Genomic DNA, 15498 nt, shown 5'->3' with positions numbered 1-15498 from the left:
TTATTGTTCGGTAGCCTGATTAATTCTGGAAATGGTTCTGAAAGATACAGAAACACATAAGAAGGATAAATGCAATTATAAGGAACCATCCCTAAGATAAGATCAATACAAGATTAAAAATATATATATATTCTTAATAAATGCCCAGTATATAGTGGCACCACAATAAAATCTAAGTTTTCTTTAAAAGTATTATTTGGGTGGGCATGGTGGCTCACACCTGTAATCCAACACTTTGGAGGATTGAGGCAGGAGGATCATTTGAGCTTAAGAGTTTGAGACCAGCCTGGGCGACATGGTGAAACCCCATCTCTACCAAAAATACAAAAATTAGCCGGGTGTGGGTGGTGGCGCATGCCTGTCATCCCAACTACTTGGGAGGCTGTGGCAGGAGAATCTCTTGAACTCAGGAGGCGGAGAGCTTGCAGTGAGACGAGATCGTGCCATTGCACTCCAGCCTGGGCAACAGAGCAAGACTCTGTCTCAAAACAAAGCAAAAACAAACAAAAAAACCCCACCTCTATGAGGTTTCTGCTTAACTCAGCAAGACTGAATAAACGAAAAACAAATACAAATAAATTTTAAAAATTAAAAAATATACTCCAGGGGGGCAGGGGAATGGAAGAGATTAAAGTAGGATTGGCCTGGCCCTTTTCTGCTTCAGGTTATTAGATATAAAACAGGAAGGAGGGTGAAATATGACTAAGGAATAAGAACAATAAGAGATCTGAAAATTTTAGTCAAATATGAAAAAGTCATTGGGGTTTTATTTTCCAACTATCTTCCCTGACTTTTCTCTGGCCTGAATGCCACTTCAGGTTGATAATTTACTACCAACTACAGACAGCCCTACCTAACTTGGTTTCTAAACAAGTCGATCTTTTCTTCTGTGACATGAGGACATTTACCTGCTTAGTTCTTTTTTTTTTTTTTTTTGAGACGGAGTTTCGCCTTTGCTGCCCAAGCTGGAGTGCAATGGCGCGATCTCAGCTCACTGCAACCCCCGCCTCCCAGGTTCGAGCAATTATCCTGCCTCGGCCTCCCGAGTAGCTGGGATTACAGGCGTGTGCCACCACGACCGGCTAATTTTTTGTATTTTTAGTAGAAATGGGGTTTCACCATGTTATCTAGGCTGGTCTCGAACTCCTGACCTCAGGTTATTCGCCTGCCTCGGCCTCCCAAAGTGCTGGGATTACAGATGTGAGCCACTGCGCCCAGCCTTACCTGCTTAGTTCTAAGGAGGTGATTAGATGGTTCAGAGGGGACATTATTTTAAGCCTTTAAGTCTCCTCTATCCTACCCCTCCCCCCTTTAAAAAGAAGATCCATTTCACAAAGGCTGAGGGGCAAATACCAAGAGTTTCCCAAATCAACAAGCTTAAATTTCCATTTCTGGGAGCTTTGCCCTGGCCAAACTGCTTCCCAGGGAGAGGCATATTGTGCTTTTCTTTTTCCCGAGTGATACTATATTGGCCTACACCCAGAGTCATTTTTACTCAGCTTTTCAACATGAAAACTTGTTTGGCCAGTCCTCCAGGGCAATTGCAATGCCTTGTCCAAGAGATGCCACCAGTCCATGCCTAAAAGCACCAAGCCTTCGAATAAGGTATACTATTCACAGCAGTGTCATCTCTAGGCAGTAACAGCAATTTTGAACTATGGGTAAAACACCTCACTGTCAAAGGTAGTACAGTAGTTTTCAAGATACATACAATGCTGTACCCAGACTATAATGAATGTCCCAGGTAGAACATATGAAAACGACTGCTTTTTCCTGGTTATTTTTATTTGAGAAGGAAGGAAGAGCCCTTCCTAAATCTGCATAACTAAATATAATCCCATTTGCTTAAGACAAGACCAACAACAAATGTAAAATGTTATTTCAGAAATAACAACAACAACAAAAAATTAAAGCAGGATTAAAAAATTTTAAAAAAAAGGGTGGGCGCAGTGGCTCACACCTCTAATCCCAGCACTTTGGGAGGCTAAGGCGGAAGGATCACTTGAGACTAGGAGTTTGGGGCCAGCCTCAAGTGTGGGTGAAACCCATCTCTACAAAAAATACAACAACTAGCCAGGTGTGGTGGTGCACACTTGTAATTCCAGCTACTGGGGTGGCTAAGGCAGGAGAATTGCTTGAATCGGGGAGGCAGAGGTTGCAGTGAATCCAGATCGCGCCACTGCACTCTAGCCTGGGATGACAGAGTGAGACTCCGTCTCAAAAAAAAAAAAAAGCATAGTTTAGATAGAATCTAAAGGTGAAAGTGAGAAGAGGCTAGAAGGTGAAAGGTATACCTCAAAGGACCTACCAAAGGCACTGGGCCTAAGAAAGCGAAACTAGGCTCAGAAATATTTATGTTGGTAAGAGGAGAACAGCTCTGCTACATGATAGTTCTTGTTCAATTCAACGATAAGATCTGAGGTTACTATACAGAAATAAAGGGAAGGAATTTGTGGACACTGTGAAGAACATGAAGGTTGGAACTGAAATGTAAATATTACAATAATCATTACATTAAGCTATATTCATTCCATGGACCCAAAGTTTCCACTACATAGAGAATCTGGATCCTAAGATTTGCTCTATTGTCATAAAATACCTTTGTATACTAAATGGATAATATTTAACATTATAAAATCAACTGTATGTAACTGGCAAAAAAAGAAAGAAAGGAACAAAAACCAATTTGAATGGTTTGGGCCTCACAGCTGTTCTGCTTATTGAGCATATGCTCTGGAGGAAGCCAGAGATAGGAGATTTGAACTGGTGGTTTTTTTTTTTTTTTTTGAGGGTCTTGCTCTGCTGCCCAGGCTGGAGTGCAGTGGCATGATCATGGTTCACTGCAGCCTCGACCTCCCGGGCTCAAGTGATCCTTCCGCCTCAGCCTCTCAAGTAGCTGGGACCACAGGCATGTATCAACACACCCAGCTAATTTTTTAGTTTTTTGTACAGACAGGCCCTCCCTATGTTGCTCAGGCTGGTCTTGAACTTCTAAGCTCAAGCAGTCCTCCCACCTTGGCCTCCTGAAGTGCTGGGATTACAGGTGTAAGCCACCTTGCCCAGCCAGCTGGCTGTTCCTTAATCTGGTTTCCACTCCCATGTGCCTCTCATAATATAAGCATTTTACTAGGCTTAGGGTGATTCTAGTATTTACAAATACATATTTTTCATTAATATAGTCTAGCTCTCACACAAGTCAGCTCTTATGTGGGGACCTCAGCTGAAGAAATAATGGCTTGTCTCAATGCTAAAGAAAAAACTGATTGTGTTGAATTCATGGAGCCAGTATGTCAAGCTTCAAGAAATCATCCTAAGAAATTCTGTAGGTAACTTCTGACTGAGTGCCTCACACTTTGACTTTAGAACCTAATCCTTTTAAGAGATGGGAAAGGACAGGAGAGATACTAGAAGCAAACAAAAATGAAAGAATTTCTCAGTCTCCTTCTGAAATTGTAATAAGCAATCAGCTTGTTTGATTTCAAATCCCTACATTCTCAATCCAAGCACATATGTACAAGCAAAATGAAAAATGCCTTATGGCATATTTTATCTAAAACAGACACTCTACCAGATGTTTAGGAATCTGCATAGTGATGAAATTAAGATCTAGTCTAATATGGTGTATATAAATGTGTAGTCACTTTGTATGATGAGTTTTTCCCCACATTTGCCAATTTTTTCTCCTCCTACTCACAGTGGTATATGAATTTGAGATACTCCAAAACCTAAAAAAAGATCCATCTAAAGTACAGATTAATATAACTTCTGAGAAGATAGATAGGTAATGCATGTACCAGTACTAAAAACCACACTTAAAATTTTAAATTTTTATATTAATTTATTATTAAAATTTTATTATGAGAATTTAAGGTTACGTAATTATTATTTTGGCTAAAATTTGACATACCACAATGTTTTCTAGTATGAGTTTGCTTGCTTATTACCTGGATGAGGAAATAATCTGCACGCCAAACCCATGTGACACACAATTTACCCATCTAACAAACCTGCAACACATATCCCTAAACCTAAAAGTTTTTTTTAAAAAAGTATGAGTTTGCTGCACAATTAGGTATGTGTTCATCTTTGATAACAATTAGCATTCTAATTACTCTTCTTCAGGCATAAGACTTAAAAATCTCAGCAAGGAAATACTTTATACCCCAAAACATTAATGCTCTTTTTGATTTCAAATAAATTGTATTTATTTTAAAAAAAATCAACAACAAAGAACTATGATATAAGGTGCTTGTTCTATTTCTGTGATGCGATATTTCCTCTTCCTAAAACAGCATGTTTACTTTGAATGCATCCAGAAGCAGACTCAGGAATAAGGTCTTTTTTGTATTGCTACATTATTTTATTTTCAAATGTCATGAATTTCCAGAAAATTAGGAACACCTATTATCCAATATAAGCACAGAAATACATTCACAAACCAATGAGAAAAGAGACTGGTTTTGGATTAGCCATAAATTTTGATTATCCAAATCTGTCTTCTGCCCCTTTCTAATCTACATAGAAAAAAAAGCTCAAATAGCCTATATGTGGCAAATATATCTACTCATAAGAATTTTGCTTAAATTTGCCTTAAAAATTCTGGAACAATAATTTAAAACTGAATTAGTAACACAAATATGGATGCTCTACCTTAAAGGCTGTCAGAAATTCAATAATTAATTCTCCTAATTAAGGTGATAATGAGAAATCAGGTTCATTATAGTTGAATTCCGAAATGCCTGACCCCAACATAAGCATCCTGTACACTGAGCAATGAAAAAGGAGAGTCCTTTTCACATGATAGTGATTTTTAACCAAGAAGAACATTACAAGCACCTGTTGAACTTAAAAAAAAAAAAGTAGGCAGGGTGCGGTGGCTCATGCCTGTAATCCCAGCACTTTGGGAGGCTGAGGTGGTTGGATCACGAGGTCAGGAGATCAAGACCATCCTGGCCAACATGGTGAAATCCCGCCTCTACTAAAAATACAAAAATTAGCTGGGCGTGGTGGAGTGTGCCTGTAATCCCAGCTACTCGAGAGGCTGAGGCAGGAGAATCACTTGAACCCAGGAGGCAGAGGTTGCAGTGAGCCTAGATCGCGCCACTGCACTCCAGCCTGGGCGACAGAGCGAGACTCAGTCTCAAAAAAAAAAAAAAAAAATTACATGCTTGGAGTCTCCAGCCACAAAGATTTTATCCAGTAGGACACTTATACTTTGTAAAACCTCCAGAAGTGACTCTGATACGTACCCTAAGCTGTCTCACGACCAAGAAACTCTGCAACCTGAATGTTAATTTCTGTAACATTCAGATGTTATAGGATACATTCAGTATGCTGATTTGGTTGGTCTAAGTATGACGACTATATATACCTCCTTTTTTTTTTTTTTTTTTGAGACAAAGTTTCACTCTTGTTGCCCAGGCTGGAGTGCAGTGGCGTGTTCTCAGCTCACTGCAACCTCCTCCTTCCAGGTTCAAGCAATTCTCCTGCCTCAACCTCCCAAGTAGCTGGGATTACAGGCACACTCCACCACGCCACCATGCCTGGCTAAATTTTTGTATTTTTAGTAGTGATAGAGTTTCACCATGTTGGCCAGGCTGGTTTCAAACTCCTGACCTCAGATGATCCACCTGCCTCGGCCTTCCAAAGTGCTGGGATTACAGGTGTGAGCCACCGAGCCTGGCCCCTATACCTCCTTTCTACAACACTCTGTTGTCTTTCACTAAGGTTTGATTCAGTGCAGAACTAAGTACCTGACTTCTGAAGAAACAAAAAAGAAAAAAAAAGCAACACATAAGCCAGGAAATATCAACTCTGAGCTGGGTGAGTTAGGTACCAGTTTATAAAAACTTTTTAAAATGAAGGAACCAAAAAAAAAAAAAAAATCAATGCTATGTGGAAACTTGTAAAATAAAACAATAAAAGATAAATATAAAAATAAAAAAGAACTCATTACCAAATGAAAACAGAGCCCAAGAAAGGATTTAATGCCCAGGTCTGGCTCATCAAAACATAATCTAGTATTTGCCACTAGGGCTGTAACCCAGCAGTCTTAAATTTAAAAAGCAATTAGAGTATTTCACAGGTGCACAGTCAAATTGTCACATCCCAATGGACAACAAACATTTTAGGGTAAAACCTGACCACCTCAAAACATCTAAAAACTGTCTTTTTTATTTCCTCACAAAAAAGTAGTAGCCTCCTTTTAAGCACAAGACATACATTCAAAAACCCCCAGTAGATGTCTGAAATGGCAGATATTATCGAACCCTACATATACTAGGTTTTTTCCTCTACGTACGTACCTATGATAAAGTTTAATTTATAAATTAGACACAGTAAGAGCAGGTGTGAGCAGTAAGACACAGGTTGTGAGCATGGTGACTCACACCTGTAATCCCAGCACTTTGGGAGGCTGAGGCAGGGGGAATCACTTGAGCCCAGGAGTTTCAGACCAGCCTGGACAACCAGTAAGATCCCAACTGTATAAAAAAAATTAAAAATTAGCCCGATGTGGTGATATATGCCTGCAGTCCCTGCTACTCGGGAGGCTGAGGCAGGAAGACCACTTGAGGCCAGGAGTTTGAGGCTGCACTGAGCTGTGATCATACTACTGCACTGCAGCCTAGGCAACAGAGGGAGACCCTGTCTGTTAAAAAAAAAAAAAAAGAAAAAAAAATTATAACAATGTGTTGTGATGAAAGTTATGTGAATATGGTGTCTTTTTCTTTCTATCAAAATATTGTACTGTACTCACCCTCTTTGTGATGATGTGAGATGATAAAATGCCTATGGGATGAGATGAAATGGGGTGAATAATGTAGTGTTTAAAACTTAGTGATTTATTTATCTCTGGAATTTTCCATTTAATATTTTCACATCTTGGTTGTCTGAGGGTAACTGAAATCACAGAGAGCAAAAACAAGGATAAGGTTGGGGGGACTACAGTACTTCAATCCTCATTCTTCTCTTGACTGTTCTGGCTACCTCTGCTAATCCCTTCAAAAGACTAGTCTGTACCTTACAAGGATTAGCAGAGAGAGGAAAGAAACTTCCTGTATGAAAACAATCATGTTATCTTCATTTCAATTCTTAGGAAAATAATTCAGAAGAAGTTGGTTATATACCAAAGAAACTGACCTTAATGGAGAATAAACAAAAGCCATGGTTCTCAACCTGAGATCAGCCCTCTGCCAAAAGAAGTCCAACACACACTTCCAAACTGACCAATCAAACAACAAAACCCCAAACTTCAATGCCTCCAAATGCTCTGAATCAATCTCTCCCTGAAGCCTTCTTGGAAATCAGTAGGAGCTGGAATATTAGCTATCATAAATTCATTGTTTTCCAAAGCCTTCAGGGGATTAATTCTTCAAAGTCTCTAAGGATATCCTTTCTCCTTAATTTCACAATGACCTTGCACCTCAAAGCTAAGAACAGTAACATCAGCAACAGCTAACATTTATTGGTTACTTACTATAATGCTAGGCACTGTGCTGAATGCTTAACTCTTTTCATCTCATTTAATCCTCACAATAACCCTATGAGGTCAGTACTATTATTTACTTCCTCCATTCAGATGAGAAAAGTGGGTCTTTTTTGAATATCTTTTCTGCTCTTCTGCTCTGAAAGTCCTAAGCCCTTAGATATTCATTCCAATTTTAGGTTCCTGTCAGTTTGTCCACAAAGAGTTAAAGATATATAAGGATATTTTTAAAAGAAAAAAATCATACCTACTGCCCAGCGTTACATTTTAAAGTTTTTGGTAATTTCAATTTCACTATTAAGAGGGAAGGGTGCTCTACAATAGTAGATATCAAACTTTAGTGTGTATCACAATCAACAGGACAGCTAATGTTAAAACGCAAATTGTTGGGTCTCAGCTGGGCACAGTGGCTTACACCTGTAATCCCAACACTTTGGGAGGCCAAGGCAGGAGGATCGCTTGAAGTTAGGAGTTCAAGACTAGCCTGAACAACATAGTAAGACCCCGTCTCTAAAAAAATTTAAAAATTAGTTGGGCGTGATGGCACACACCTGTAGTCCCAGCTACTGGGGAGGTAGGAAGTGAGGTAGGAGAATCACTTGAGCATGGGAGGTTGAGGCTGCAGTGAGCCTTGATTGTGCCACTGTATTCCAGCCTGGGCAACAAAGTGAGACCCTGTCTCAAAAAAAAAAAAAAAAAAAAAATTTTCTGGGTCTCAAGCCTAGAGTTTCTAACTTTAGGGACTGGGAGGAGGTCTGAGATCCAAATTTTTATCGAATTCTCATTTGCTGCTGATACAGGGCCCACTAATTTATATGAAGGGAAAAGAAAGTAGTCCCCTCTCACCTTAGCTATCACCTTATGTGAAGACACTTCTCTACAGAGTACTTTCAACAAGACAGACACTTAGGGTTTAAAACACCTCCAGGGTCTGACAGCTTAAAGATTTATTTTTTTTCTCCCCACTTCACAAAGGCTTCAATGGCACCACTAACATGAAGGCACATGAAATCCAGAAAAAGGAAAATTAAGGACAGAATATTTATAAACTTTGCTAAGAACTTCTTACTGCTCACATTTTACTTCAGCCTGAAGTCCTTCCTTTGGGCCTCCTTGAGCAACAGATGCCAAAAGAAAAGTAGATTGCTTTGTAATACCAACCCCCAAAACAAGGATGGGCTCTTAAAATATAATAGAACTTTGCCCTGTGAACAGAAAATCTCAAAATGCTCCAAATTCCTCCTTAGTTCACCTTAGCTATCACAAAGGTCTCTCTTTTATCACACTATCCTTCATCTCAAAAGAGCTATTGCTCTTACCCAGGACTGACCCAAAGTCTACACTTTCTTAGGCAGCTTAAATATTGACTATGTCAATGTCATCTAGGATGAATGACTTTAGGGAATAGGATTTGTTAAAAATGTCTCCTCGGTCAGCCAGGAAAGGTTCTTCTGTGGGTGCTCTGAACCATGACTAAACTGTACCGAGAGAAATATATTTTAAAATATTAATATGGTCTGGCACCTTCCTGATGCTAATGGTTCCAGGCCCACCCCAATGGCACAACTGGGAAATTAAGTGAAGAGAAAAGCCATCTTCCCTCTGCTCTCTATTTCAAATGGTCCTCCTCCACAGCTTTGCCACGCACAGACTCATTCTATACATATACACAGAGATACAACATGCTCATACACACAAATAACTCTCCACAGGAACTGAAAATCAAAGCCTAACCCCATGGTTTTTAAGTGAGCAAGTCCAATTTCCTTCTTTGTAGCTCTTGACACATGCTGGCTGGGAGCCGTCTGGATTTTTTCTGCCTTGTTCCTGCACCAGAAGGCTCTGCACTGCAGGTCAGGGGATGATAAGGAAATGAACAGTGTAATTTCCAAGGCCTCTGAACACAGCCCTGTCAGCAGCTCTGGAGGCGGGTTACTCAAGCATGGCTTGAAGAGTGAAAACCACAGAGAGAGGGCTCAGACAGCCAGCAGTGGCAGGATCTCAGCTGTGTATGTTACTGCCACATCCCAAGCCCTGCTGCCTCCCTGGATGAGCTCTGCTGGTAAAAGCTCTTATACCCAAATGGCAAAAATACAAGTTCACACTGGGGGAGGAAGATTAAGGGCTAAGACTTAGATTTTTTCCATGCAGTCTTGTGTAGAAACAAAAACACTTAGCACTACTCCAGTGTCCGTGAGATTGCATATTCCGGCAAAACCACAGTAACATCTATCCAACATACCCAACCCCATGCCAGGGATATGGCCAGAAAAGAAGCTCGATTCATATGAAGTCTGAAATTCAACAGGCCACTTCAATATGCCCTAAGCTAATTTTTGGTCTTCCCCCCACCTCCAACTATAATTATCAGGGGCTTTAGAACACATCACCACCATGAAAATTTCCCAGCCTAGATTTGGAACTTCTTCAGACCATAGTGCTAAAAAGTCTTAGCTAACATGTATATCTATTCATACTGGGATTCCTGTAAAGTGGAATGTTGTTGTATTTCAGTACATTATTGCCTAGGAGAGACTAAGACCAATTTCCACTCAAACTGTATTTTTCTTTTTTCTAATATTTATTGAATGCTTCCTACGTGCCAGGCACTAAGTGTTTTATATGAATTAGCTAACTTAATCTAAAGACAAACTTTTTTTTTTTTCTTGAGACAGAGTTTTGCTCTTGTTGCCCAGGCTGGAGTGCAACAGCACAATCTCAGCTCACTGCAACCTCTGCCTCCCGGGTTCAAGTGATTCTCCTGCCTCAGCATCCTGAGTAGCTGGGACTACAGGCATGCACCACCACGCCCGACTAATTTTGTATTTTTAGTAGAGACAGGGTTTCTCCATGTTGGTCAGGCTGGTCTCGAACTCCCGACCTCAGGTGATCCACCCGCCTTGGCCTCCCAAAGTGCTGGGATTATAGGCGTGAGCCACCGCGCCCGGCCTAAAGACAAACTTAAAGGCTGGGTGTGACGGCTCATGCCTGTAATCCCAGCACTTTGGGAGGCCAAGGCGGGTGGATCACTTGAGCCCAGGAGCTCGACACCAGCCTGGCCAACACAACGAAACCCTGTCTCTACTAAAAATACAAAAATTAGCCAGGCATGGTGGTGCATGCCTGTAATCCCAGCTACTCTGGAGGTTAAGGCAGAGGTTGCAATGAGCAGAGACTGCACCACTGCACTCCAGCCTGGGCGGCAGAGTGAGACTCCCTCTCATAAATAAATAAATAAATACAAACTTATGTAGGTGCTATTTCTCTCATTTTGCAGATAAGAAAACTGAGGAAGAACAATTAAGAAACTTGGTCAAGATCACTCAGTAAATAAGTGCAAAGGTAGGAAACAAAGCCAGGTAGTCTGGCTCCAGAGTTCACACTTTTTAAAAAATTTATTATTATTATTTTTTTGAGACGGAGTCTCACTCTGTTGCCCAGGCTGGAGTGCACTAGTGCGATCACAGCTCACTACTGCAGCCTCAACCTCCCAGGCTCAAGCCAGGAGGCCTGGCTAGAGTTTACGCTTTTAGCCACTAAATTATACATAAGAGTTGATGTGAAATTCAAGTTTAGAAGGCTGGTGTTTTAAATGAGAAGTGGCCCCGAATACTTACCTTGAAAGGAAAATTCTCAAACTTTGATGTATATAGCAATTATCTGGAGAGACTTCTGGAAGTACAGATTTCTGGGCCCTTACCCCAAAAACTTATTCGGCATATCTAGGGTAGGGTCCAAGAATGTGCATTTTTGATACTCTGGTGATGTACATGGTTTTATGGGACACACTTTTAGGAACTCTGCTGTAGACGGTAAACTGTAAGCTCCTCAAAAAGCAGAGACCATCTCTGTTTTATTTACCAGTGTATACCCAATACCAAGTAGAAAACCTAGTATCTAAAATGCATTCAATTAATGTACTGACTGAATGAAAAGTGATAACAATTAGCCAACAGTATATCTTCTCTACAAAATACTTAGTAATATCCACAATACATTTGAAGGTCTGCCTATTAGTGATGTGTCCAAGGAAGAAGCACTAGAACAGGGTTTTTTTTCTTACCTGCAATTGCCAAGTAAAGAAAGAACTATTCCTCAATTATTATAATGAAAATTTGGCTGGATGAAATATTCCAGAACACACACACATATATCATAAGTAGTCAAGCTCAAAGTAGCAGTTTTAAAGTAACTTTCCTTCTTTATAAATAACAGGATAGGTTCAGTGCCAGCTGTAATGGTTATTCTTTGCAAACATCATTCATTACCTTACCTAAAATCCTAAACTCAAAGATCCTTTGTTTATTGAGTGTCTACAATGTTAAAGTCACTGTGAAAAACAAGTGAAAGCAGTTTTGGGGTAAAAGCAATTTTGGAGTATGTAAGCATTTTCATCTAATGTTTCAAGGTAGTCTTTACATTGAAAAAATGGCTGGGTGTGGTGGCACACACTTGTAGTCCCAGCTACTTGCGAGGCCAAGGCAGAAGTGCATAAGTGAGACCAAGGCAGAAGTGCATAAGTGAGGCCAAGGCAGAAGTGCATAAGCCCAGGAGTTCAAGATCAGCATTGGCAACATAGCGAGACCCTGCCTTAAAAATAAGCAAATAGGCTGGGTGTGGTGGCTCATGCCTGTAATCTCAGCACTCTGGGAGGCCGAAGCAGGTGGATCACTTGAAGTCAGGAATTTGAGACCAGCCTGGCCAACATGGTGAACCCCTATCCCTACTAAAATTAAAAAAAAAAAAAAAAAACTAGCCAGGCATGGTGGTATGCACTTGTAATCCCAGCTACTCGGGGAGCTAAGGCAGGAGAATCGCTTGAATCAGAGGCAGAGGCTGCAATGAGCCGAGATCGTGCCACTGCACTCCAGCCTGGGTGACAGAGTGAGTCTCCATCTCGAAAATAATAATACTAAGAAAATAACAAATAAAGTGGGAAAATTGAGAATCCTTCCTGACAGTTAAAGATTTGTTAAGAATCCCAGAGTAACAACATGCCATAAGAATTTGGTGTCTACAAATCTGGCTTTGCCAGTGACTACCTGTGAGATGCTGGGCAAGTCACAGGACTTCACTGGTCTTAGTTTCTTCTATAAAATGAGGAAATTGGACAAGATAATCTTTCTCTGGAACTGCCTTGAATTACAACACCTAGAAGGAAAACAGAGTTTCTGAATGAAAAAATAAATTAAGCTTGTAGTTACAGAATGCAACTCTGTCCCACATAAATATCAACTTCTTTTTAATGTTTTCCATGAAGGAAAATCTTGAGGGCATTTGGTTTCAGGAAGCAAAGCTGACTGCTCTGCCATCAATAGCTGAGAAATAACAGCTAGTGGAAGAAGGCGTTAAGAAAGCCTTGGATCAGAAGGAATAAAAGAGACCTGACCTTGGTTAGGCAATGAGGGACTACAATACAAGAGAACTAAGCTAGAAGGCACAAATTAGGGCAGGAATACAAAACCAATGGCAAAGGAAGATGCTCTTAAGAACACAGGATATGATAGCATGCATGATCAGAAGTTGAAAGAGCAAAGAGCACACTTTATGGTTTTCTTTGTATCCTAAACTAATGGGGGAAGTGGTAAATATATGCAGCATTCTGAAAGCAGCAGAAGCTGACATTCAAACACGGGAAAAGCAAAGTGCAGTGTTCCTACCTTGCAAGATCAAAAGCAGCAGCTAAAGACATGTGAGGGGGAGCTTCTGGTTAGAAACTTCTAGATCCTTTCTTTAACTACTAGAGCCTACTTGGCTATTTTATATGATTTGGGGGAAAAGAAGGAGTCTCACCTTAAACTCCTGGTCGTAAGCCCTGACAAAGTCAGCACAGATAGATCGTTGCCATCTGTGGTTTGTAAATTCCTTTTTTCTTGCCTGTCAGAGTGGCGACATAAGCACTAAGCTCAGGACACTCAGACAGGCGCCTGCCCTCCTCCCTACCTCCCCTTCCATCCCTAACTTAACAATCCATCAATCAAACTAAAGGCAAGGGAACAGGCAAGAGCTGGAAGGCTCTGTCTTGTTTATTCCTCAACATTCCCTCCCCCATCTCTTCAGCTGGCAGGAAGTATGAGGCAGAAGTGTTCAATAACAATTCAGAGCAGCAGCAGTTGCTAAGAGCCATCTCTGGTCTCTCCTAGAACTCTGGGAAACAGCACAGAGCTCACTCTGTCAGAGGAAGGTATGGTCGAGCAAAAGTGGGATCCCATGAAGGGAAATCCACATCCTTGTCTGACAGAAAATTTCCCAGGCCATAGCCTGAGATATCTACCTTCACAAAGAAGAACATGAGATAGATAATTTCTCTCTTTCTTTTTTTTTTTTTTTGAGACAAGGTCTGGCTCTATTGCCTAGGCTGGAGTCCAGTGGTGCCGTCTCAGCTCAATGCAACCTCCACCTCGCAGGCTCAAGCTATCCTTCCACCTCAGCCTCCCCAGTAGCTGGGATTACGGGTGCACACCACCAATGCCCGGCTAATTTTTGTAGAGACAGGGTTTCACCATGTTGCCTAGGCTGGTCTCAAACTCCTGAGCTTAAGCAATCTGCCCACCTAGGCCTCCCAAAGTGCTGGGATTACAGGCATGAATCACCAGGCCCAGCCAGTAATTTCAATATTCAAATCTTCCTCATTGGCTAGTAGTCAACACTGCTACTCTGCACCACAGAATTCAGTCAAGAAACTTCCCAAATTTTATGAGTTCTTCCTCTTCATGACAGTTCCCAGTTGAGAGGATGCAATTCTTAGATTATATCAAAACATCTGTTTTGCTATTTTGGTTCTGTTTGTTATCCCTACATAGAAACGTCCCAAACCACAGGCAAGCCCATTTCTCAGAGAGAAAATTTTAAAGAAGTTTTCAAAGACTTTGCTTATAAATTATAGTACTAATCATCAAATACTCACTGAGCACCTATTATGCCCCAAACCGGAGATTGTTGTTTCTCAAAAACCGCTCCTCTGCATGGTTCCTAACTTCCTTTCCTTTAACTTGCCTCTTCTGCTCCTCCCAGTCCAGAAATGTTCTCTCCCTGCACAGCATGTTTTAATCTCCTAGCAACTTCCAAACATTTATTTAAATAATTATTTATTTCAATAGCCAAAGGTAATATGGAAAGGCACCCTCAGGACCAGACTGTCCAAAAGGGTTGAGGGAACAGGGGAAGGAATTGAGAAAGCAGGTTCTTGCTTATGGTTACATGAAACTGTATAGCAAATTTTCTGCTTCTAAAAGTAATTGCCAGCAATTTTCTCTATCTTTCAAAAACTGAAGCACAGTCTCTTTCCCTTTTCTTTCTCATTCTGCTGCCCCATTCTCAGAGTCTCCCTGGGAGGCAAAGCTTATATGGCAAAGCAACATTATTAAGGGACAAAACTCCCTGGCACCAGGATGTATTCTTAGCTGAACATACTGCATCTTTCAGCCCAATTATAATCTGAAGGGCAGCCACCCAATCAGTCCCTGCACCTCTATGTGAGAAAATGGGTTCCATTTGCTTCTCTGTTAGAGACAATCATGGACATTTACACTTAAATCCAACATAAAGCTAAGCAATATTAATCCTTTCATCCACAGACTATCACTGGGCTTAGAAGGTTGCAACATAAGTACTCTAAAATTTAGATAGGAGAATGAAGGTCATCCTCAGAAGTACTTTTTAGCACAGGAAGAATAATGATTATGAATATGGATATATGGCAAGAGTTTCTTGAAGCCAGATGTAGGGAACAGTCTAATGGGCCTGGAACAGAAGCAACAACTGCTAGTACTCCTAAGCCTCTTTAAAACAGTATTATCCATCTGTACCCGAGAGAAAATAGCAAATCACAGCCAGCACAGGATGAGCCAAGCTAGTAACCAGCTGGAACCTGACTCTGCTGAAGTGGACTATAGCATCTGCCACCTAAACACAGGCAGCCTCTCTGGCAGCTGCCACTGGTAAAAGGGAATGAGCCACTGTATTATTAGTGGAAGAAACTCACAGACCTGCTACTGGAGAAGCCCAGATGT

At 40.9% G+C, this 15498-nt stretch overlaps 1 protein-coding gene across 5 annotated transcripts in view, besides 2 other annotated features; it reads right to left on the bottom strand.

Annotated features, from left to right (window-relative positions):
- Positions 1-15498, bottom strand: part of ZNF609 (zinc finger protein 609) — a 226491-nt gene that overhangs the window by 169194 nt on the left and 41799 nt on the right. The gene's annotated exons all lie outside the window — the stretch shown is intronic.
- Positions 2344-2423: an enhancer, noted in NCBI's record as "active region_9570". NCBI's record gives its function as "activates an Ori minimal core promoter by ATAC-STARR-seq in GM12878 lymphoblastoid cells {active_cell/tissue: GM12878}" and the evidence as "EXISTENCE:reporter gene assay evidence [ECO:0000049][PMID:35858748]".
- Positions 5003-5190: a silencer, noted in NCBI's record as "fragment chr15:64803884-64804071 (GRCh37/hg19 assembly coordinates)". NCBI's record gives its function as "represses an EF-1alpha promoter that drives an FKBP-Casp9 reporter gene in an ReSE screen in K562 erythroleukemia cells {active_cell/tissue: K562}" and the evidence as "EXISTENCE:reporter gene assay evidence [ECO:0000049][PMID:32094911]".

This window comes from Homo sapiens, chromosome 15 (assembly GCF_000001405.40).
Source record: "Homo sapiens chromosome 15, GRCh38.p14 Primary Assembly".
Lineage (NCBI taxonomy): Eukaryota > Metazoa > Chordata > Mammalia > Primates > Hominidae > Homo > Homo sapiens.
This window is presented reverse-complemented; position numbering and strand designations above follow the sequence as displayed.